The sequence below is a fragment of the Homo sapiens genome, chromosome 22 (genome assembly GCF_000001405.40).
Source record: "Homo sapiens chromosome 22, GRCh38.p14 Primary Assembly".
Classification (NCBI taxonomy): domain Eukaryota; kingdom Metazoa; phylum Chordata; class Mammalia; order Primates; family Hominidae; genus Homo; species Homo sapiens.
In genome coordinates this window covers 29646508-29672184 of record NC_000022.11, presented here as the reverse complement: position 1 = coordinate 29672184, position 25677 = coordinate 29646508, and the positions used below count along the sequence as shown (strand labels likewise).

The 25677-nt window shown below is 42.6% G+C and overlaps 1 protein-coding gene across 26 annotated transcripts in view; it reads right to left on the bottom strand.

Moving 5' to 3' along the window:
• The window catches only part of NF2 (NF2, moesin-ezrin-radixin like (MERLIN) tumor suppressor), a 95045-nt gene that overhangs the window by 26416 nt on the left and 42952 nt on the right, over positions 1 to 25677 (bottom strand). For 20 of the 26 annotated variants that reach the window (NM_016418.5, NM_001407056.1, NM_001407053.1 and 17 more), the window contains 7 exons: positions 17460 to 17528; positions 16509 to 16591; positions 13921 to 13996; positions 10846 to 10980; positions 7121 to 7195; positions 3739 to 3852; positions 237 to 359 (listed from right to left, as the gene is read on the bottom strand). The exons of 1 other annotated variant lie outside the window; for it this stretch is intronic. In NM_016418.5, the coding sequence (NP_057502.2) occupies positions 237 to 359; positions 3739 to 3852; positions 7121 to 7195; positions 10846 to 10980; positions 13921 to 13996; positions 16509 to 16591; positions 17460 to 17528 (675 nt within the window). Of the gene's footprint in view, positions 1 to 236; positions 360 to 3738; positions 3853 to 7120; positions 7196 to 10845; positions 10981 to 13920; positions 13997 to 16508; positions 16592 to 17104; positions 17211 to 17459; positions 17529 to 25677 lie in introns of all 26 variants that reach the window. 5 more of the 26 variants (NM_001407059.1, NM_001407057.1, NM_001407062.1 and 2 more) reach the window with 3 other exon arrangements.

The following is a 25677-nucleotide window of genomic DNA, read 5'->3' as shown; positions in this document are numbered from 1 at the left end:
GAAGCCCTGCTATAAAGGCAACCTCGTGGTGAAAGTGGAGTTTGGCTGCACATAAGCTCAACCTAAATCTGCTTCTGCCAACACAGGTGAAAAGAAAAGGCACTGATTTTTTCAAAGCTGAAATTAAGTATTTCAAAGCAAACGCTGCTAACTCATGGTTTTCAGGAGACCAAGCTCCAGAAAAGCCAAGGAAGTCCCCAAGTAGCCTCCTGGAACCCCAGCCCCTCAGAAATCACCAGTGCTTCGTTGGCCATTGTTGCTTCTTCTTTCATCTGCAGCAGCCTCCTCTCCAACTCATCCCTCGTGCGTTCAGCCTCCTCCCTCATCTGCTTCTCTCGAGCGAGGCGCTGCCGCTCCATCTGCGAGGGGTGAAGAAAAACAGTCATTGAATCACAGGGCTCGAGACCTAGGGTGCCACAAGGGCCCAAAGATGCCCCATCTCCAGTCTCCCCTTTTGGGACCTTTTTCCTTCCCTTTCCTTTAGGTAGCCAGGGTCATTCTTATTGCCCCCCACCCCGTCCTTCTAAACCAGTTGCAGAGTTGAAAGCTGTGCCACTTGAAAAACAGTCTAGTGGTGAATGAACAAATGAACAAACAATAAAAACCTGTTGAGTCTTGACCCGGATAGAAAAAGGCATTCTTTTTTTTTGGTGGAGGGGACAGAGTTTTGCTCTGTCACCCAGGCTGGAGTGCAGTGGCGCGATCTCGGCTCACTGCAACCTCCGCCTCCCAGGTTCAATCAATTCTCCTGCCTCAGCCTCCCGAGTAGCTGGGACTATAGGCACCCGCCACCATGCCTGGCTAATTTTTGTATTTTTAGTAGAGATCAGGTTTCACCATATTGGCCAGGCTGGTCTTGAACTCCTGACCTTATGATCCACCCACCTTGGCCTCCCAAAGTGCTGGGATTACAGGCATGAGCCGCCGCGCCTGGCAGAAGGAGGCATTCTTATACACGGTGCACTGAAATGGCTACCTTGCCAATGTTGCTTTTTGTTGGGAAACCCCAGGTGGCTCTGCCCCATGGCCGATGGGATGCAATGCAGGACCTCCTCCCTCAGATAGAGCCCCAGAAATAAGCAGCTTTCTCATCTGGGCAGGCAAGCCATCTCACCATTTCTAATCCACATGGACCCCTCTCACATCTCTGATTTCATCAACAATAGCTCCACTCTTGCCTCTGACCCACAGAGAAGATGGAATCATTCTACGTGATGCATCAATAGTTCACACATTGTATTTCACAGGGGGGAGCTGCAACAGCCACAGCACAGACTTGCACAGCCTCATGTGGAGACAACTCCTGAGCCAGGCCTAGGACAGGAGGGAGCCAGGCGGGAAACACAGCCCCGTGTCCTTAAGGCAACAGCACAAAGCCACCACTACCTCCCTTGCCTTCTGGATCACTGCATTAATTGGGCCACATGCTGAGCTTAATAAGGGGAACAAGCACAAGACAGTGCCATTCCTCTGTGATCCCAGGGTACTAACTGAGTTCAAAAAGCAGAACCCAGAAGTGACCACTGCACTATTTTCTGCCTTAAATAATTAAAGCACATTTAATTACTTCTTGCTTCAATCTTATCCCACACTCTGGTCATACAAGGTTTCTAAGACTGCTGCTTTTTCTAAATCCTAAGCCAAATACACACACACACACACACACACACACACACACACAAGCTCAAAAAGATAATGCAAAGACAAGCAATAAAACAGTGAAAGTTCTTCTCCAATTTTCTCCTTGTAAGTCAATGAAAAGCTTGGCCAATTTGTTCTCTAATTTCCATCATATTACAATTTCCATAAGGTGGCTTACTACATATCTACAATTCTTTTAAAAAAAAAGAAACTAAGAAAGAAAGAAAGAAAAAGCCCAGTCAGGCCAGGCAGGCATAGCAGCTCATGCCTGTAACCCTAGCACTTTGGGGGGCTGAAGTAGGAGGAATGTTTGAGCCCAGGAGTTTGAGATCAGCCTGGGTAACATAGCAAGACCTGATCTCTACGAAACAATTAAAATTAACTAGGTGTGGTAGCATGCACTTGTAGTCCCAGCTACTTGAGGGGCTGAGGCAGAAGGATTGCTCAAGCCCAGGAGCTTGAGGTTACAGTGAGCTATGATGGCACCACTGCACTCCAGCCTCAGTGACAGAACAAGACCCTTTTATTAAAAAAAAAAGCCAGGTAATCTCCTTCAGTTCCTGGCCCTGTACTTTCCCTGAGACCTCTACCCCAATATAAAAGACCTCCTATTCACAAAAGAAGTTTACTGCATACAAAGACTGTAAGGTGTAATATACGTCCCTTCATCTGAGATGGAGAAGGTATATCATTAGTTTCACCTGATGGATGAGAAAACTAAGGTCTGGAAGGTAAGTCATTGACTTACTCACATTCTAAATTTCAGATCTGGCTCCAAGGTCAGTGTCTGTCCACCTGATCTGTGGTTGCCCAGATGCCAGGTTTGTGGCTCTGCTGTGCTGTAAGCAGTGCCGATCTGCAGTGTTCCTGCTATTCTCTGCCAGGGCCCACAGACTGCATATTCCCTGACACTTTCAGATTTCTTACTTCTAAGCTTTGCTCTGCTAAGAAAAAGGTCAAAGAAAGCTCTCCTCCTCCTTCTTATTTATTTACTTATTTATTTATTTATTTTGGTATTTTGTTTCTGCTTCTGTTTTAAAACAGGGTCTTGCTTGGTCACCCAGGCTGGAATGTAGTGGTGCAATCATAGCTCACTGCAGCCTCAAATTCCTAGGCAAGTGATCCTCCTGCCTTGGCCTCCCAAAGTGCTGGAGTTATAGGGATGAGCCACTGCCACGAGCTCTTCATGAAACTGCCACTATGACCCCATGCTGGCTCAGTAGGATTTCTTTGTCCAACAAATCCATCCCATCACCCTGAAAGCATCCCAAAGAACACATTTGTGGCCCACTACCTCAGAAAGCAAAGAGATAGAGAGCTGAAAGCACACTGGGCATTTCATTCTAAATCCTAGGGCTGGGACCAGCCTCTCCAATGTATCCAAATCAGAAAGGTGCACACAGACTAATTATTACACTTCTGAGCTTGCAAGTCCTGCGGGCAGCCAACTGCAGCTGCTGCTACTCTATCTAGTAGTTTATCCAAAAACACAATTGATATTCTCAGCAGTAAGGCCCAAATTAGTTGTGTGGATTTCCATGAGCAGAGAAGGTTTATGAGTAGAAAACAATGATGCAGATCATCCAGTCTGCTGATAGATGCTCCTGGCACCTCCTGGGGCAGGTGACATGCCATAAGGCCTGACCTGCAGTGGGGAATTGCAGCCAGAGTCAAATTAGCATTCCAGCCGCAAGCACTGAAATGCCACCTGGCATTCTATCACCATCTAATTAGAAAAGGAGAAGGCTGCACAAGGAGGCAGACAGGCAAAAAAAGAAAGCAAGCTAGCTAGCCGGACGGATAGATGCATGCACTCTTGGCTATTTCATCCCAAACTGGTGTTAATCACACTTAATTTCTCCAAGCGTAGAAATTACTAGAGATGTTTCTTTTAGATATGCTATTAGGGTTTATTCCTCATTTCCAGAGATGACATCCCACCAGGTAGGCATCGGCAAATGAAGATCCAAAAGGTATAAAACAAGAGCAGGTATGTCCACGGCCAAAAGACTCCTGCCAGCCCATGACCACTCCTCGCCTCCCAGGCCAGGACTGACCACACAGTGACATCATCAGTTAAAACAAGGTTGTGCTCACCTGCTTTCTAGCCTTCTCCTCCCTGGCCTGGGCTTTCATCTGCTGAACTTCCAAAGAATCGGCTTTCCTTCTCCTCATAAATAGATCATGGTTCCCGATACATAGCTGGAGAATCTGTGGCCACAGAAGCAGACAAAAAGGTTAATATCCACAAATTTACTTCACTGCCTACTGGCCCACTAGTGCCATAGCAGTTTGAGCTCTTGCAGGTAGCAGTAAACGTGAAGATGAATGCATAGAGTGAAACACCAAAGCCCTACTAGTGGCCTCTAGTGCCGTCAGCTCTGGAAACATGCAAAATGAAGGCGCCTCAGATATGCCAGGAGGTAAAAATCATAAATCAAGAGAGGACTGGAGGACACTTCACCATGTCTTCTGGGTGCACCTTACTCTCCTACATCAAGATGTGGTTCTGCAGACCAGGGAGGATAGGAAAGCTCGTTCAGTAAGCTGGGCTGAGGCAACAGGTTATGCATGTGGAAAAAAATAAGTTGTATCCCTCCCTTACACCTTACACAAAAATCAACTCCAGAAGGATTAAATACTTAAATGCAAAGATTAAGCCCTTGAAACTTTTAGAAGACAATATAGAAGAATATCTTTATGATCATAGGATAAGAGAAGATGCCAAGTAAGACACAAAAAGTGATTAAGGAAAAAATGTATATATTTGTCTACATTAAAATTAAAAATTCTTATTGTCAAGACATAAAAAAAGAAAAAGAGCAACAAACTGGAAGATATAGCCAATAAAGAAAACAGGCTAGGTGCAGTAGCTCACACCTGTAATCCCAGCACTTTCGGAGGCCAAGGTGAGAGGATCCTTGAGCCCAGGAGTTCAAGACCAGCCTGGGTGACATAGTGAGACGCCATCTCCACAAAAAACTCAAAACATTTGGCCAGACCTGGTGGCTCAGCACTTTGGGAAGTGTAATCCTAGCACTTTGGGAAGGGGAGGCAGGCAGATTGCTTGAGCCCAGGAGTTTAAGACAAGCCTGGACAACATGGCAAAACTTTGTCTCTATAAAAAAAATACAAAAAATTAGCTGGGCATGGTGGTGTGTGTCTGTAGTCCCAGCTACTGGGGAGGGTGAGGTGGGAGGATCACTGAGCCTGGGCAGGTCCATGCTGCAGTGAGACATGATCGTGTCATTACATTTCAGCCTGGGCAACAGAGTGAGACCCTATCTCAAAATCTCAAAAAAAAAAAGTTCATTTGATAATGAGATACCATTTTAGATGCACAAGATTGGCAAAAATTTTAAAAGGCTGATAATACAAGTATTAAGGATAGCAAAAAACAAACTTCACCCACTACTGTTGGGTCTGTAAAAATCGATTCACCTTCTTTAGAAAACAATGTGTCATAATTTTGAAATTTAAACATATACCAAGCCCTGTACTTCTACTCCTGTGTATATACTCTAAGCTCTATTTTTGATTTATTTTTATGTATTTATTTTTTTTTTGGAGACGAAGTTTTACTCTTGTTGCCCAGGCTGGAGTGCAATGGCATGATCTCGGCTCACTGCAACCTCCACCTCCTGGGTTCAAGCGATCTCCTGCCTCAGCCTCCTAAGTAGCTGGGATTTATAGGCATGCGCCACCACGCCCAGCTAATTTTGTATTTTTAGTAGAGACAGGATTTCTCCATGTTGGTCAGGCTGGTCTTGAACTCCTGACCTCAGGTGATCCGCCTGCCTCAGCCTCCCAAAGTGCTGGGATTACAGGAGTTGAGCCACTGTGCCTGGCCCTCTTTTTTATTATTTAAAAATTTTATTTATTTTCATTTTTTTGGAGACAGGGTCTTGCTATGTTGCCCAGGTTGGTCTCGAACTCCTGGCCTCAAACAGTTATCCTGCCTTGACCTCTCCAAGTGCTGAGATTACAGGCGTGAGCCACCCCACCTAGCCCAGTATACTCAAGACTCCAAAGAAACTATTGCCTATGTGCACCAGGAGGCAGATACAAAAGTTTTCATAACAGCCTGTTAAAACAGTATAGAAGTGGCTGGGTGCAGTGGCTCACGCCTGTAATCCCAGCACTTTGGGAGGCCAAGGTGGGCAGATCACAAGGTCAGGAGTTCGAGACCAGCCTGACCAACATGGTGAAACACCATCTCTACTAAAAATACAAAAATTAGCCGGGCGTGGTAGTGGCCGCCTGTAATCCCAGCTACTCAGGAGGCTGAGGCAGGAGAATTGCTTAAATCCGGGAGGCGGAGGTTGCAGTGAGCCGAGATTGTGCCTGGGCAACAGAGTGAGACCCCATTTCAAAAAAAAAAGTATAGAAGTAAAAAGCACTTAATTATCCATTAACAGAAGAATCAGAAAAATATATAACAGAGTGCTACAGAGGTGAGAATGAACAGACTATCTTTAAGCATCAACAAAGATATATCTCAAAAAAATAATGAAAAAGGAAAAGGAAAATGACAAAAGAATATATATACTTGACAGCATTTAGATAAATTTCATAAACATATGACATTGAATGGTATTTTTCTTTTGCCATATATGAAATAAAATTCTGTTGAAAAGCAAGAGGATGATGAATACTCAACTCAAAACAGTGATCACCCTTGGGGAGAGGGAAAGGAGAGACCAGCAGGGTGTTAACATGAAGGGTCTCAACAGTATTGGGACTGTGCTATTTCTTTTTTCCTTTTTCTTTTTCTTTTTTTTTTTTTTTCCTGACCTTGTGATCCACCCGTCTCGGCCACCCAAAGTGCTGGGATTACAGGCGTAAGCCACCGCACCCGGCCAGGACTGTGCTATTTCTTAAAGTGGGGTTGTGGGTACACAGCTATTCACTTTTGTTATTCTTTATAATTCATATGTTACACTTATCCTTTTATATGTATGAAATACTGCATTAAAAATCCTTTTTAAAAATTCCTCATCGGCTGGGCGCAGTGGGTCATGACTGTAATCCCAGCACTTTGGGAAGCCCAGGCGGATGGGTCACCTGAGGTCAGGAGTTCGAGACCAGCCTTACCAATATGGTGAAACCCCGTCTCTACTGAAAATACAAAAATTAGCTGGGCATGGTGTCTCATGCCTGTAATCCCAGCTACTTGGGAGGCTGAGCCAGGAGAATCTCTTGAATCTGGGAGGCGGACGTTGCAGTGAGCCGAGATGGCACTGCCACTGCACTCCAGCCTGGGCGACAGAGCGAGACTCTGTCTCAAAAAAAAAACAAAAAAAAAAACTTCTTCATGATATAATTTAGTTTTAACTCTTTAAGCTAAACAGAAAGTATGCGCCAAGTGAGATACCATTCTATACTTCACAAGATGTCACTCTGATATCCTTTAAAAAGAAGTATTCAATTCTCAGAAAAGCTACCATTATCAGTAATGAAAACCAGGATCTCAACTTACCAGCTTATTAACACGAAGCTTTGAGGAGTTAAACTTGAAGACATCAATTTTCTTATCCAGTGGTTTAATAGTAAACTGGAAGAATGAAGCAGAACACAGTTTCAGTCCGACAGCCTGGAATGTTACCAGCAATTGGAAATTCCACAAATGCGCAACCACACTGGCCACAGACCAGCATGAAGTTATGCCTTGTCCTGGCTTCCCAGTATCCAGGCACTAAACCTCAGGGAATTAGGAGCACCAAGTCTCGGGCTGTGGAAGCTCAGGACCCTAAAGGTACGCTCTCTAGACCATCTTAGGCATGAGTGTGGGAAGGGATTCTTGACAACCTAAAATAAGCATCCTTAATGGGCCCAACCCTGAGGCCAACACTGGAGGGCTACTGTAGTCGAGGGCATGGGCCCACCTTCATGAAGCTCACCATCTAGTTGGAACTAGGCTAACAACAGCCAATTACTCAAGAAATCACATCAAATATTAGTGCTTCACTGGGTGGTACAAATCACAAATATGTGGAGGTTCAGAGTAGATCCACCATAAGCAAGAGAGAGTGAAGCTGATCTTAGAAGAACAATCCAACAGGGTAGCTAAAAGGCAGGTGAAGGGGCATTCTGCACAGGGCAAAACCAGAAATAAGGTAGAGACAGGGAAATGAGCTGTGTGTGTGTGTGTGTGTGTGTGTGTGTGTGTGTGGTATTAGCTTTTTGGTGACTAAGATGATATAATAGGTTTAGCCTGAGAGGGAGGAAGGGGTGGGTGTAGGGGCTGGCAGTGAGAATAAAAGTCAGAGGCGGCCAGATATGGTGGCTCACACCCGTAATCCCAACACTTTGGAAGGCCAAAGCAGGAGGATCGCTTGAGGCCAAGAGTTTGAGGCTGCAGTGAGCTGTAATTGCACAACTGCACTCCAGGCTGGGCAACAGAGCAGACCCCTATCTCAAAAAAAAGAAGGGTTTAGGTTTGATGTGACAGGATACCTGAGCTCACCACAGGTTTCTGAACATGGGAATAATTTGGTAAAAGCTGTTAATAGAATCAAATGGGGAAAAAATGGACTATAGTAGAAGGGAAAACAGTTCTTGATGCTGAAATCAAAATGGAGAGAAAGATGAATGATAAAGACAGGGTGGTGGCTTGGTAGGAGAACCTAGGGTTAGACCACTAGCAGGAAAGCCTGCAAGGAACAAATGGCTGCTGCTCTCAACCACTCCCGATAAGACCAAACAGATCCTAGATTTCCAAGATGCACTTACAAAATGGATATCCATTCCCAAGAAAGACTTGCTAAGCAGATAAATATGTTTGGGAAGATATATTTCTTTCACACGTTATATTGCCCAAGAAGGGGTTAGTACACTGAGGACAGAAAATGATCCTTTGTTTAGCTTTCAGCCAAGTTAACTTAGAAGCAGTGTTGCTCTTGTGTAGGCTGCTATTCATGAATTTTGTGAGCTTATTTTTGGCTTTGCTGTCAAACCCTGGAGCTGTCATTGGGAAACCACAAGTAGTGGGGAAACCGCAGGCTCTGCACCATGCCAGGGCGTACACAAAGAATCAATGGATCATTTAAAATAAACTAACATTTCTGTTTTGACAGCATGGCTGTCATGCATAACTACCAAGACTACTTCTTTTATGTCAAGTCAGCTTGGGGTCTGCTTACTGCATGAGTTATTGACATGATGGAACATGATGGCGCCTGTCCCCCGGAGAGGGCATATTAGAGTTTACTGTGTCAGGCCATAGTATGGGAGATTTCAATCCTTGGCTTCTTTGAAGAACGGGTGTTTAGGGAGCCTTTAGCACACAAATGTGTGGACGTGCAATAAACAGACTTTATGAAATTGGGAGATGAAAAACTACCATACGGTGGCACACATACAGCTTTATGTCATGTGGAACTTTCAATTTAAGTACTTTAAAAAAGAAATACCTAACTGCTTATCTCCTGGGCTAACTACTAACAAAAACTTCAAAGTCAGAATGTTTTGAATTAAGGGGCTCAGTCTGTCTTATCAAGCATGGCTGAGTAGATCCCAACCATATACTGGAAACCAGGGGCCTGGTGTTCCCTTCCTTGAGTTGCCATGAAAAAGAGAAAACAGGAAATATGCTCAGGTTTGGGGCTCTGCAGGCAGCAACATAAGCTGTTCCTGTTCTTCACTCTCTAGTCTGTGTCCTGGCTGTGCAGGTACCAGGAGGTCACTGAGTGGAGCCTCCCTCTCCCCAGTGCCCCTGTGCTCTCAGGACTCAGCCTCTGGGCCTCCCTGAAAGGCGGGGGCTGTGGCATCAGCAACTCTGGCTCCTAATCTCTGCTACTTCACTCAGACACAGGTCACTTGATCCTTCTGTGTCTCTGCTTCCTGATGTGACACAGAGATATTGACAACACAGCCCCTGCCTTTACAGCAGTGTTCTTATAGAGATTAAATTCAGACGGTCAGGGTGAATGTGCTTGTATGTGGAAGACTACATTTGTTGTCATCATGTCTCTTCCACGGCACTTATTTATTATAGCAGGTGAGTAGTTACTTGACTTCCTTGAATGCTAAGACTGGATTTTCTACATCTTTGTTTCCCCCATGAAATCTAACACAAAGCAGATGCTCAATAATTCCTTTAAAATTAATGAAGAACTGCTGAGCACAGTGGCTCACACCTGTAATTCCAGCACTTTGGGAGGCTGAGGTGGGAGGATTGCTCAAGCCCAGAAGTTCAAGACCAGCCTGGTGGGCAATGTGGCAAAACCCCATCTCTACAAAAAATTAGCCAGATGTGGTGGCACACGCCTGTAGTCTGTTACCTGGGAGGCTGAGGTGAGAGGATCACCTGAGCCCAGGGAGGTCAAGGCTGCAGTGAGCCGTGATCATGTGCCACTGCATTCCAGCCTCGGTGACAGAATGAGAGCCTGTCTCAAAAAATGATAATAATAAAATAAAATGAATGAAGAATGAATGAATGGATGAGTGAATGAATGAATGGATGGATGAGTAAACATAAGATTATACATTATGGGACCTTTTTGGTAAAAGTCACCACCCTATATGGAAATATTTAAATTCTAAGAGCATTTATCTAAGTTATTCCACCTTAATTATTTTGGAATTCTTGTAAGCATATTAACCTAATATACTTATTTATATAATTACTGAGAGATACACACACAAAACACATATATGTCCATATGTGTATATGTGTGTATATGTATTTCTCTGCCACATGTATCAAGCACCGGACACAGAAAGAAAGCTCAATAAAGACCACACTTAAAATACGAAGAGAATTTAAGCCAGGTGCTGTGGCGCACACCTGTAGTAGCTACTCAGGAGGCTGAGGTGGAAGGATTGCTTGAGCCCAGGATTCAAATCCAGTCTGGGCATGCATAATGAAATCCTGTCTCTAAAAAAGAAAAGAAAACATACAAAGAGAATGTATCGACAAAAATAGAAAGCCAAGTAATAAGAAAATGTTACTGTTTTTGTTCACTATTCTTTGGGGTTTCTCCCTGGCCAGTTGAGCTTCCCAGTTTCCTATTAGTCATAGTGGGGTTATTGATGCCAATACTGTTCTGTAAAGACTTCGAAAATCAACAACCACACCCTCAAAGCCTGGGAATTAAAGGACTCTATGAATAACAAGGAGATGCCCTGGCTGGGGAGGCTCCAGTGAGGGGGGCAGACAGGGAAAGATCTGCTGGACCCATCTGCAGTACACACATGTCCTACCTCCTTGTCACTGTACGAGATGTTTCGGATTTCATTCCACGGGAAGGAGATCTTGGGGGTCAGTCTGTTCTCAGGGTCATAAATGTGAAGCCCCAGGGCATCCACTCCAAGCAGCAGCTCTGTGCCCTTTTTATTCTGTGGATCCAATAAGAACAGCTACTGTAAGCGCCAGCTGAGGCTCAAAATTTTATTCAACCTTCCAAAGAATCTGGCACACACTGTCACATGTGACAAGTTTCAGCAGGTCCCAACAGAAGTCACAGCTGTCTTATAAACCAAGAAGATTTCAGCTTTCTGAATTGGGGCAGGTAGAAGCAAAACTGTTCCATTCTTGTGACTTCTGGGTCCCCCAGAACAATCACTGAGGGCTTCTGTCACTGGCTCGATGGCTAAAGGAAGAGTAACATAAGTGTTGTTCCCTCTGGTTAAATAAGCAGGCTATCATAGGTATAGAATTAAAGCCCATAGGTTTAGGCGGGGAGCAGTGGCTCATGCCTGTAATCCCAGCACTTTGGGAGGCCGAGGCGGGCGGTTCACGAGGTCAGGAGTTCAAGACCAGCCTGGCCAGCATGGTGAAACCCCATCTCTACTAAAAATACACACAAAAAAATTAGCCGGGCATGGTGGCACGCGCCTGTAATCCCAGCTACTCAGGAGGCTGAGCAGGAGAACTGGTTGAACCCAGAAGGCTGCAGTGAGCTGAGATGGTGCCCCGGCACTCCAGCCTGGTCGACAAAGAGAGACTTCGTTAAAAAACAAAACAAAAAAAACCCATAGGTTTAATGATTTCTTATATTTAAAGAAACCATTGTTGGACTACTAGGAAGAAAATTTTCAGTGCCTGGGGCTGGATGGTCTCATTTTATGATAAAATGTAGTCTTCATGTGATAAAGCAAGTCTGGTAAAATGTTAACTGTAGAATCTAGATTGTGCATATATATGGGTATTCACTGAAAAATTCTTTCAGTTTTCCTGTAAGTTTGAAATTTTTAATAATTGCATGATGGGAAATACATATCAAAAAGAATTCTATTCATCAACAAAGTTGTCTAAAAGCCGTACTTATGCTCTGCCCCTGACAGCGGTCCTGGCCAGCAGTCAGAGCAGCCCGCGGCGGGTGCCCTGGGCTCCCACAGCACTGAACCTGCGACGGACTGAGTGGCTGTATCTTCACGTGCAGGTCCACCCGCCAGTGCTGTGGTCTAGCCCTCATTTGGAGTGGAAGGAAACTCGCTGCACAAGGATACTACAGCTCCTGACCCCTTGACGATAATGGAAACTGAACCAAGACTCAAGGGCAGAAAAACAGGTCTGCAAACTGAGAAGGTACTGGGACTGTGAAGAGAAGTACCCATCTAACAGCAGATATCAGACTGAGGAGTGAGTACTCCAGCATAAATCTTTTTACTCCTAACATCCTGAAGTCAGGTGCTATCACCAAACCATGAGAGACTCTTCTGCTCGTCAGCAAAGCCATGAAAGCTACTGCATTAATAGAAGTGAGGCTTTGTACTTTTACATCTGCAGTACATTTTGGAAAATGAGATGTTTCATTGTGTTTCAATAGTCAGAAAATAGTTTCTGACTATTTAGTTTAAATTTTTAAAAAAAGATTCAGCCTTCTGCCTCCTACCATTATGACTCCAACACTCCTAGAGATTAAACAGAGAGAGAGGTGAGGACTCAAGCAGCCCCTTTTAAACTGTTTTAAGCATACATCTTCCTTAGTTAATGGTGAGATTTCAGGAAATTTAACATAAAAGACACTAAGATAGCCAGTAGCTTTGTCTATTGCTCAATATAGGAAACACACACAAAAAACAGTATCCATTAGTCTGACTGATGTAGAAATATTCCCTAATAAGAAACCTTTTCAGCCAGGCACAGTGATACTCCCCAGCTACTTGGAAGGCTGGGGTGGAAGGATCACTTGAGCCTAGCAGGCCTGGGCGATATAGCAAAACTCCACCTCTAAAAAACAAAAAAGATTTTTAAAAACCAAAAAAACTGTTTTCTGAGGATTATAAAACTTTAGTTTTCTAGAATCTAGGTGGCCAGAACATGGGGCAAGAGGAGTTGAGTTGACAAAACCACAGAAATGTGTTACATTAGTTTGACCTTAAAGAAACCAAGCAATTAGCAAATACAAACTGACAGAACTTTAGAAAAGAACTTCCTGTACTATTATGGAGCATCTTTTAGGCACTTTAAGTGTGCCTTATTTTCTTATGCAGTGTAATCCATACAAATCTGTATTTACAAAATACAAATGAAGTAGAAAGCTATCCTAGAATATTTAAAATATGTTTCAATTTACCTGAATTTAATACAACAACTGTAGGAACCCAATAAGGGAAAGCAAAGCATGACTATGAAAATAAAGGTGGACCCGCCTCATTGTTTTAACATCTACTCATCTGCAGTTTGGAGTCCGTAGTGAAATGCTTTGGCAAATCGCATGCATCCCTTTGTAAGAAGCTGCCTATACACTGCATCCAGATACTGACCCACAGGAGAAAGACATTCTAAAGGCCCAGATCTGGGCTGCACACAAATGCCTCTCCCTGCAGAAGCAGTGGGTTCCCAGCAGACAGCAGACTATTAATAGTCTGAATAGAAAACCAATTAGCCTCATAGTGAGAATCCCAAACAAATCAGTAATCTATAAAGGCAGATCTACTCTACTAGTGCCTGGGGTGGGGGTGGGGGTGGGGATGGGGGTGGGGTGTGTGTTGGGGGGAGAAGTACTTACAAGTGCTCCCTGTGGACGGAGATCTCACAGAGCCAGAAATAATCAAATCTTACACTCAGAGCATTCAAACAGGTTTCTGCTGAGAGCAGAACCAGGTCCAAGTCCCCCAAGGCTCAAGTGACACTTAATTACCTATGATCTAATTGAAGTCCAAAAATAGAAAGTTAGGCACTAAGACCTCTCTTTCCTTCCTCTTTCCTTCTTTACCACAGAACCATAAAAGAGTCTATCGCCTTGGAATGAAGAAGTAACCATTTTAGCAGTCTGGCCCTCACTCAGTCTCTGTCTACTACACAAGGAGCTCAGAGAGGTTTCAACACACCCGGATTGCAAAGTAGTTCACACCGTACATCTCCAGGTCCTGAGCTATCTTCAGATATTCCATTTCAGCTTCATCCCTGTGGGGAGAACGGAAGACACTGTCATTGGAGCTAAGTGAGATGGGTGGAGAGCGGGTGGGCACCAAATCAAGCATTCTGACCCTGCCATTCCTCTAGAGCCACGTCGCTGCCAGAAGACAAAAGCCACAGCAGACACCAGCAAAGCTCTGCCCGGCCCTGAGTCTATTAAACACACTGAGGTCAAGCAGAATTTCCCATCCCCATCAAAAGATAGTCAGAGAACAGACTCATCACGGAGTTTCTTGGCCTTAGTTTCCCACCTTGCCCTTGGTAAACAGTAAACTCATCTCAAGTAATTCAACAAGAGTGTGTGGTATGTTATCTTCTACCCTCAAACAGATTTGGGTGTTGGAATTTTATTTAAGTTCTTGCTTTTCCTTTGTGTACTTTCTTTACCTGGAAGGTTCTGGAAATGAAACAGCTCTCTCTGCAAGCTTCCTGAGTATTGTTGGAGGTTAGGGCAAGAGTTATCTGGGTTGTAAAACCCAAGTCAGATCACCTTCATCTAAGTTATAATTTAAAGTAAGCTCTTGAAGTAGCAATAACTTGCAGAAAACTCCCAAACAGGTATCATACTGAAATATTTTAACTCAAGTCTCCCTATGACCTTGTCCTCTTCCTTCTCTCTCCAATCTCCAAATGCTCTCAATGAATTTTTAAAAACCCAGCCTGAGAGAACGCCAAGTGTTGGTGAAAAGGTGGAGAAATCAGAAATCATGCACATTGACGTAAATTGGTACAATTACTTTGGGAAATTGTTTGACATTATTGTAATAGCAAAACTCAGGGGACAACCCAACAACCTAACTGTCCATCATTAGTAGAATGAATAAATAATTTTTAATATACTAATACAGTGGAAGTCTATACAGCAATGAAAATGAGAAAACTATTGCCACATGCCACAAACCCCAATCTGACAACATGATGCTGAGTAAAAGGAGACACAAAAAACAGAATGCAAAGTTTAAGATGGGCAACGCCAATCTGGAATTAAAAATCAGGAGACTGGTTGCCTTTGGGGAGGAAGAAAGGGGAATTGGGGGTAGGGAGACACAGGTTATTTCTTCCTCTGGTGTTTTCACCTTACAATAATTGATCAAGTTGTATACTTATAATTTGTCTACTTTTCCATATGCATGTTGCACTTAAGTTTAAAAAAAAAAGTGTTAGGAAACTGATTTGAAGAAGAGAAAAAAATGTTAAAGGCTAATGAAAACATGACCAATTCCTAATCAAGGGAATGGAATTCTAACATAATACAACTTTTCACTTTTTAGATTACAAAAATTAGACTGATAAAAACAATTGTTGAGGATAGACTGGGGGTGGGGGGTGGGACACTCTCATAACACTTGTCGACAGGCATGTATAAACAGGTACAGCCTTTTTGGAGAACAATTTGGTGGTACCTGGCAAAATGCAAAATGCTCACATCCTTTGTCCCAACAACTCTTGTTTTAAAGAATATATTGGCTGGGCGCGGTGGCTCATGCCTGTAATCCCAGCACTTTGGGAGGCCGAGGCAGGCAGATCACGAGGTCAGGAGATCGAGACCATCCCGGCTAACACAGTGAAACCCCATCTCTACTAAAAACACAAAAAATTAGCCTAGGCGTGGTGGCGGGTGCCTGTAGTCCCAGCTACTCGGGAGGCTGAGGCAGGAGAATGGCGTGAACCTGGGAGGCGGAGATGCAGTGAGCCGAGATCGCGCCACTGCACTCCAGCCTGGGTGACTGAGTGAGACTCCGTCTCAAAAAAAAAAAAAAAAAAAAAAAGAATATATCCCCAGAACTACTCATACAATTGTATAAAAATAAAAGATTGTGCACTGCAGAAATTTTTGTAAAAGTGAAAAACCTACAGATACTCAAATGCCATCAATAAAGGGATGGATGCAAAAGCAATGGGATAGCCATACAATAGAATTCTTAAAATTCAGGCTAGGCACAGTGGCTCAGCTCACGCCTCTAATCCCAACACTTTGGGAGGCCGAGGTGGGCAGATTGCTTTGAGCCCAGGAGTTGAAGACCAGCCTGGGTAACATGTTGAAACCCCATCTCTACTAAAAATAGAAAAACTAGCTGGGCATGGTGGCGTGTGCCTGTAGTGCCAGCTACTGGGGGTGCTGAGGCAGGAGGTTTGCTTGAACCCAGGAGGTCAAGGCTGCAGTGAGCTGAGATGGCGCCACTGCATTTCAGCCTGGACAACAGAGCAAGACTCTGTCTCAAAAAAAAAAAAAAATCTTAAACTTAATTACCAGTGAGTACAGGTCTATATATCTTGACAGGCAGTACACATACCTACTTTATGTCATACGTACTAGAAAAGGACACACACAAAACTGAAGACCAACGTTACTCCCAGCTCCCCAGCTCTCCCCTTTTCTTTTATAGACTTCAGTACTGCATTTTGTTTAACAAGCATGTCCTAGTTTTGCAGTTCTTTAAGGCAAAAAAAAAAAAAAAAGCCCATAAAGGAATGTAAACCAACAATGAATGGGCCTCACCTGGCTCGGCCTCGGTGCTCTGCGTACCAAGCAGTAATTCTCTCCTCCCACATTTCCGGAGTCATCTGATACAGATTTATTACCTACCAAAAAATAGAGCAAAATAAAAAACCTACACATGAAGTAAATTTGGTATTGTTTGCCACTTTTATAATTATGCATCATTTTTACAAAACAGTAAAGCTATTTTTAAAAAGCTACACCCAGGGAGATAGTCACACAGAGAGAGGGCGTGTAAATAAGGCACCATTCTATTGGAGGAGCAACTCAGAAAGCTGCATGATAACTCAGACCTAGGTGCAACCCTCATCTGGCAGTGCCCCTGTCCCTGCCTGGGCGATACATCACAGAGACCACCTCTGACAGCGGAGCTCAGTCAGAAGCAATGCTCACTCATCTCAGGCCTTCACATGCTCAGAAGCCATCGAGGGACAGGTAAAGAGAGTGAGAGGTGAGAAACGGGCCTTTATTACCCAGTGACAGATGAGTGAGGGCTGTAAAATCGGCAGGAGCAAAAGGGAGGGCGGGCCTGCTTCTGTGGCTAATGAATAAGATGAACAACACTGAGGATTAAAAACCACAATGCCCACCCCTACCTCATCTCCTCTATCCGCCCCTCGCCACTGCAAACAGCTCAATTCCCCAAGCTGAATACACTCTGCTCCAGCCTCCTCTTTGGGAATCAATGATGCTCAACTGCATCTGAAAAAACAACCACGCTAGAAAAAACATTTACAGGCCATGCTAGTCCTGGTGACCCCAAACTAACTCCAAAAACCTTTGCTTTTTAATATTCTTAACAGAGATCCCACACTGTTTACTGGAGATTACAAAATATTTATTAAAATTAAATTGCTATGTACTTCCAATATTCCTTCAAGTCCTTTGGTTAGCTTTCTTTTAGACCACATATCTGCTATGTCTTCCTGAAAAGGGAATTTAATCTCTTACCCTTTTTGGAAGCAATTCCTCTTGGGCCAAAAATCCCCGCTTGTGAACACTGGGGTCGTAGTCACCATACTGGAAAGAAGAAAGGGAGAGCAGGCGATTGAGATTCTAAAGATAACTGCCATTTCTGAACAGAGCTGGACCAATCTCATTCCCTCCCAGCTCCAGGGAGCAATTCAATTCCGATGACAAGTCAAGATTTCAACCTTGCTAGTTTGTTATCCTTGAATGAAAATACAAAGCTGATTATATCTATGAACTGAGTTGCATAATCCTGTAAGAGATGGATGGGTGATGTGCTAACAAGAATGTGACACTTGTATGGAAATGTGGGCATGTTTTCTAACCCTCAAAGAAAGCAGTCACTTCCAAAACAGTAGCTTTTGAATTAAAACACCAAATCACAACTGTGAAAGTTGTGATTAACAACATATGATAAGAGTCTTACCTATAAATTCTTATAAGTGACTGGTAATTGGAGCCCATTACTAGGGGGATCCAGGAATAATGCAGGCAGTAGTTTTAATACCTTTCACCCAAGTTTCTGAAAAATACTTTGGAAAAATCTGATGTCAACACTGCCATTCCTATTGTACAGACAAAGAAGTGAGTAAAAGGTTAATTGATCTTCCTAAAGCTACAGAGAAGTCACTAATGCGGTTGGAAATAGGCCCTGCATTTTAATTTATCCCTCCGGGGACAATGACTTGGAAATTTATTCTCTGATTAAAAAAAAAAACTCCTTTCCTAGAAAACTCAAGTCTGATAAGGAAATAATCAAAAGTTAAAGAATGTTTAAAAAGAAACTAACTGAAACATACAGTAGAATATAAAATCAAAGCCTATCTCTTATCAATCAGCGTACAGTGGCTCTTCATTTTACCAAAAACAACAAAGCTCAGTACTTCAGTATAATCTATAAACATTTATTCTTTTAGCCACCAACAGTGAAAAAACAAAGGTCAGGCACAAGGCTGCTGTTTCTATATACCACCAAATCTCATTATTTCGTTATGTTCTCTCATTCTCAAAGAGCCTCAAGTTAAGACTTCTGGTGTGTTCTCCAAATGAAGCGGCCTAAAACTACAGACACAGGAGTGAAAGAAGATATTCATCATTAACTTTAAATCATGTCTCATTCCCATATCACCTTAACTGTAAAAGCCCCATGAATTCATATTTCTTTTGAATCTCATAATTATCTTTCAAATAGCAGAATTGTATTGCATTGTTTTTTTTGAATCTTAAGAGAATTAATTTGTCAATTTTTTTTTTTTTTTTTTTTGAGACAGAGTCTCGCTCTGTCACCCAGGCTGGAGTGCAATGGCGTGATCTCAGCTCACCGCAACCTCCACCTCCCAGGTTCAAGCAATTCTCCTGCCTCAGTATCCTGAGCAACTGGGATTACAGGTGCACGCCACCACCCCGGGCTAATTTCTGTATTTTTAGTAGAGACAGGGTTTCACCATGTTGGCCAGGCTGGTCTCGGACTTCTGATGTTGTGATCTGCCCGCCTCAGCCTCCCAAAGTGCTGAGATTACAGGCGTCAGCCACCGCGCCTGGCCTAATTTGTCAAATTTAAACATTTTAAACATGCCACAGTTTTTGTAACACAGTTTAGGCATTTCTTCATTTAAAAAAATAGGGTGGGCACCATGGCTCATGCCTGTAATCCTAGGACTTTGGGAGGCCAAAATGGGAGGGTCACTTGAGCCCACGGGTTAAGGCTACAGTGAGCTGTGATTGTGCCACTACACTCCAGCCTGAGTGACAGTGGAAGACCCTGTCTATAAAAATAAAAAATAACTTAGAAATTATAAATGAAAGGCCTTGGTATCTCTCTATTTCTGGGAGGCTCAGAGATGTGATGCAGTAAGTCGTAACTGTACTAAGCTTTAACAGTACTCCCTGCAAGGCAGCTGTAGAGTGAGGGTAGGAGCCTGGCTCTGGAGGCAGGCTGCCTAAGGTTTTATCCTACATCTTTCACATAGTAGCTATGTGGCCTTGGAAATTTTTGTGTCTCAGCTTTCTCATCTGTAAAACAGGAATAATAATAGTATTTATCTTGCAGGACTCTTACAGGGATTTAATTAAATAAGACCAGCAAAGTTTTTAAAACTATGCTTGGCTGGGCGTGGTGGCTCACACCTGTAATCCCAGCACTTTTGGGAGGCCTAGGCGGGCAGATCACCTGAAGTTGAGAGTTTGAGAGCAGCCTGACCAAATGGAGAAACCCGTCTCTACTAAAAATACAAAATCAGCCAGGCGTGGTGGTACATGCCTGTAATCCCAGCTATTCGGGAGGCTGAGGCAGGAGAATCGCTTGAACCCGGGAGGCGGAGGTTGCAGTGAGCCAAGATCATGCCATTGCACTACAGCCTGGGCAACAAGAGCAAAACTCCATCTCAAAAAATAACAAAATAAAATAAAATAAATAAAACTATGCTTGACACATAAACCTGATGTCCAAAAGATCTCAGGTCTCTCCAAATCTGTCTTTCATTTGTCAAATGAGAGCACTGGCCTTAGAGGATCCTGAAGGGAAGTGGGGGGGTGCTGAAGTACCCCTTCTGAGGCCTTGAGTAAGGCATCCTCTCTCTAAGCCTCAACTTCCTCATCTGTAGAGTGAGGGTCATAATAGCATCTGCCTTATAGGGGATGATGAGGATGAAGTAAAACAATACAGGTAAGCATTTCGCACAGCACATGGCTTATGGTGAAAGTCAGGTATTATTATTATTGCCATCCTCTGCATTACTTATGACAACATTGATCATTGTTTGCCTCCTGGATTTTTGAAAGGGTAGGATGCTAAAAGAAAGCCCTGTTAGTTGCATTTGCAAATCTCTCAACAGTGCTGACCAAGCTCTAATGCAAAAGCAAGCAGATATGCAAAGTTAAAGCTGTAAATTCAGGTTCCAAAGGCATGCAAGATTAACAACCCCCATTATTATACCAAGTTCTCAGCTAGTCCACTGATCAAATACATCACATTTGAGCAATGCAGAGGTGGCAAAGACCCTGCTGAAAGAACTTCTCCACTGGACTAACTCTGCTTCCAACATTAAAGCCACCTTGATGTATGTGTCTGCTCTTAAATGTCTCTTTAAACAACAAGGGAAGAAAAAAATCCTGAAGTTGTGGTAGCTGGTGAATACAAAAGAAAGTCATACCACTCCAGGGATGGAGATGGCTGCTCCTCATCGTTTTATGTAACAGATGCATTCTGATAATGTAACCAGGGTGAATTTACTGGGAAGCTAAGGAAGCTTGGATTTCAGGTCTCTGCACCTTCATATGCCTGTACCTAATTTGGTACTCTTGCATTAAAGACAATCCCCTAAATTATTAAAATTCAGACCCAGAAAACCTGGACCTACTCGTGACATAAACTAATTGAATTTAAATTCAAGGAGTTTACCATTTAAAAGACTTGTGGAGCCAATACTTAGGTTAAACGGAGGCTCTATCTGGATATGAAATAATTTCCTGTCTATAACTATGAGAAATGAGATAAAATGCTCTGAGTAGGATTTCACAAAAACATAAAGGTTAGATTACTACATATATAGAAAAAAGACAGACCCCCTCCCTACTATACCCACACACCAGTCAATAAATTCTTAAACCTATAAATGAAAATCCATAAAAATACCAGAACAAAACATAACAGAGTATGGATATAATAATGGTTGGTAAACGCATTCTAAAAGTCACTCAAAACATACAAAGAAAAAGATTGACCAGTCCTATACGTAAAATAGACAAAAGGTTGATAACTCATAATACATGGAGCATCTACAAATCAATCGGAAAAAGATGAACAGGTTGGGTGCAGTGGCTCATGCCTGTAATCCCAGCACTTTGAGAGGCCGAGGCGGATGGATCACCTGAGGTCAGGAGTTCCAGACCAGTCTGGCCAACATGGTGAAACCTCATCTGTACTAAAAATACAAAAATTAGCTTGGCATGGTGGCGCATGCCTATAGTCCCGGCTCCTCTGGAGGCTGAGGCGGATGGATCACTTGAACCTGGGAAAGGAAGAAAGGAAGAAAGAAAAGAAAAAGAAACAGAAGGGGAGGGGAGGGGAGCAAAGGGGAGAGAAGGGAAGGGAAGGGAGAAAGAAAAGAAAAAGGAAAGAAAAGGAAGGGGAGGGAGGAAGGAGAGAGAGAGAGAAAGAAAGAGAAAGAGAAAGAAAGAAAAAGAAAGAAACAAACAAACAATACAGTAGTAGGCAAGTCATAAACGGTTGATTCACAGAACAAAGAAATACAAATGGACAGTAAGTTTATGAAAAGACGTTCAGTCCCAATAGCAATCAAGGAAATGCAAATTTTAAAAAATCTTTTTCTATCAATTAGCAAAAATTTTAAAGACTGATAGTATCTACTGTTCGCAAGAATGTGGAAAAACAGGTATTCTCACACACTGTTATTGAAAGTTAAATTATGACATCAGTTTTGGAGGGTGATTTGGCTATATCTATTTAAATTTTTTATTGAGATAAAATTTATATACATAAAATTTACATTAAGTGTACAATTCAGTGTTTTTTAGTATATTCAGAATCTTGTGCAACCATCACCACTATCTAATTCCAGAACATTTCCATCACCCCAAAAAGAAGTCCTGTACCCACTAGCCATCACTTCTAATTTCATTTTTAATCTTTGTAAGTTATATTTATTTTTAATTTTTAATGTTTGTGGGTACATAGTAGGTATATATATATTTGTGTGGTACCTGAGATGTTTTGATACGGTGTGCAATGTGAAATAATCACATCATGGAGAATGGGGTGTCCATCCCCTCAAGCATTTATCCTTTGTTTTACAAACAATCCAATTATGTTCTTGTAGTTATTTTTAAGTGTATAATTATTATTGACTATAGTCACCCTGTTGTGCTATCAAATAGTAGGTCTTACTCATTTTTTCTTTTTTTTTTTTGTACCAGTGGCTCCTTTTTTATTTTTATTTTATTTTTCAGACAGAGTCTCACTCTGTCACCCCAGGCTAGAGTGCAGGGGTGCAATCTCAGCTCACTGCAACCTCTGCCTCCTGGGTTCAAGTGATTCTCGTGCCTCAGCCTCCTGAGTAGCTGGGATTACAGGCATATGCCACCACAGCTGGCTTTTATATATTTTTTGTCTTTTGTTTTGTTTTGTTTTGTTTTGTTTTTGCCTTTTTCTGGAGAAAGGGGTCTCGCTATATTGCCCAGGCAGGTCTCGAACTCCTGGGCTCAAGCTATCCTCCCACCTCTTGCCTCCCTGAGAGTTGGGATTACAGGCGTGAGCCACCGCACCCGGCCAAGTAGAGACAGGGTTTTGCCATGTGGCCAAGCTGGTCTCAAGCTCCTGGCCTCCAGTGATCCACCCACTTCAGCCTCCCAAAGTGTTGGGATTACAGGTGTGAGCCACCGTGCCTGGCCAGTATCAGTCACTCCTAATTTCCTCCTTCTCCCTTTCCCTGGCAACCACTAAATCTACTTTCTGTCTCTATGGATTTGCCTGTTCTGGACATTTCATCTACAGGTAAGTGGAAGCATAAAATATGTGGCCTTTTGTGTCTGGCTTTTTTTTTTGCTTCACATTACTTACATTTTAAATGTTCTTATTCTTTAACCCAGTTATACCATGTCTTGATATCTATTATAGAGAGATATTATCCATATATGCCCAAAGATGCATATTCAAGGATGTCCATTGCATCTGTTTCACCAATAGAAAAACAACAGAAAGAAAAACAAACCTAAATATCTACCAATAAAGATATATTTAAATAATCCAGTCCCTCCTTTCTATGAAACATAGTTCGGCAGTTAAATGAAAATGAGCTGGGGTCAGGTGCAGTGATTCATGCCTGTAATCCCTGCACTTTGGGAGGCTGAGGCGGGTATAGAGTTTGTGCCCTGGAGTTTGGGACCTGCCTGGGCAACAAGGGGAAACCCTGTCTCTACAAAAAACACAAAAATTAGCAGGGCATACGCTGAGGCTGAGGTGGGAGGATCCCTTGAGCCTGGGAGGCAGAAGTTGTAGTGGGTGGAGATTGTGCCACCTGGGTGACAGAGAGAGACTGCTGTCTCAAAAAGAAAAAGAAAATGAAGTGGGTCTATCTGTTGTGACAGTTTTAAGTGAAAAGGATGTGTGTGCAGAGATTCCTCTGGAGTAGCCACCTGGAACAGCCAGCGGTGTGTCTCCTCACTTCCACCCGTCCCTTCCACACTTGGTGCTCTACAGAGGTTATGCCAATTTCACAATCCCTTTGGCAGGTAAATGAGCACCAACAATGCAGTTACCCAATCTAGTAATCCCTGCCAATCTTATGGGTTTGAAATGTTGCCTTATTGTTGTTTTTTCTTTTTCTTGATTACCTGTGAGATGAAACATCTTTTTGTATTTATGACCATTCTTGTTTTCTCTTCTATAAAGTGCATGTTTCATGCCCTGTTTATAGCATTTGTCTTTTTATCAACTTAAGATTTTTTTTATATTGGGGTTCACCTCTTCTGTCAATTCTATGCAATTCTTCTTCTAGACACCTACCTTTTTTAATTTTTTTACTTTATTTATTTATTTATTTATTTATTTATTTATTTTGAGATGGAGTCTCACTCTGTCGTCCAGGCTGGAGTGCAGTGGTGTGATCTTGGCTCTCTGCAACTTCTGCCTCCCGGATTCAAGCGATTCTTCTGCCTCAGTCTCCCAAGTAGCTGGGACTACAGGCGCCCACCACTGCACCCAGCTATTTTTTGTATGTATGTATTTATTTATTTATTTTCGTAGGCACCTACCTTAAGGGGAAAAAGCATTTGCACATGTACATAAGGAATCACATAAAAGGATCTTCATTTGAGCACTGTTTAGATAATAAGGAAAAAGTGGAAACAAACTACCTCTCCCTCAGAAGAGGAACAGATAAATAAACTAGGTTTATTTATCAGTGGTTACCATATTAAATCAATTAAAATCAGTGAGCTACATCTATACACACAACATGGATACATCTCAAAGTAGATGCTGAGTGGGAAGAAAAATACCATTCTGTAAAAGGATATGAAAAAAAGGGATATGCAGAGTATAGCACCATCTAATCAACTTTTTATCTCCTGGATATTTTTAAATCAGTCAGCCCCCATCCAACCAACCACCTGAAGTGTGAACCTAATATTCTCTCACCAGGGCAACTATCACAGCCTTCTAATAGGTCTCCCTGTTTCCAAAGTTGTCTCACTCCAATCTGTCCATCACACAGCCACTACAGGCTCTATCTAAAATATAAACCCTTCACTGCATCGCCTACAGGATAAAGTTAAGACCTTTTAAGATCTGATTTTTTGCATACCTCTCCAGCCTCAACTCTTGCCACTCTCTACCTACACTTTACACACTCAATTTTCTAACTCAATTGTACTTTGGCACTCTGTCCCTGATTTGCATTAAAGAGTACTAAGAAACTAAGCTTCCCTTCCCACAATTCTTTTCTCTCTTCTGATCACTAGGAGTCTGCACACAGCAACATGAGATTCATAAATTATATGCCATTCTCTCCCAAAGTCATTTTCAATAAGAACACATTTCCAACACCAAATGGTCAATATACAATCCAACAGGTGACTTAAACATTGCAAGATGGTTTAGTGTGTCATGTGACTGCACCAAAAAAACCCTGACTACATTTTTTTTTTTTTTTTTGAGATGGAGTCTCACTTTGTCACCCAGGCTGGAGTGCAATGGCTCAATCTCAGCTCACTGTAACCTCCACCTCCCAGGTTCAAGCAATCCTCCTGTCTCAGCCTCCCAAGTAGCTGGGACTACACCACCACGCCTGGCTAATTTTTGTATTTTTAGTAGAGATTAGGTTTCACCACATTGGTCAGGCTGGTCTAGAACTCCTGACCTCAGGTGATCCATCCTCCTTGGCCTCCCAAAGTGCTAGGATTACAGGTGTGAGCCACTGTGCCCAGTCCCTGCCTACACTTTTGATTCAAGTATAACTCATATATGGTTCTTGTTAACTGAACCATGTGATTAGTATTGTATTTATACTTTGAGGGTAATTGTTTCTTTATGCTTTGGAATTAACTGTGTCTATATCATTCCAACAGCTGAAATACTGTAATGAATACATTTGTGCATAATTACATTCCATGTGTTAATGAGCTCAATTCGCTTTCCCTTCCACACTTCTAAAGTTCCTTTCTGTTTCAGAAAGGTTGTGGA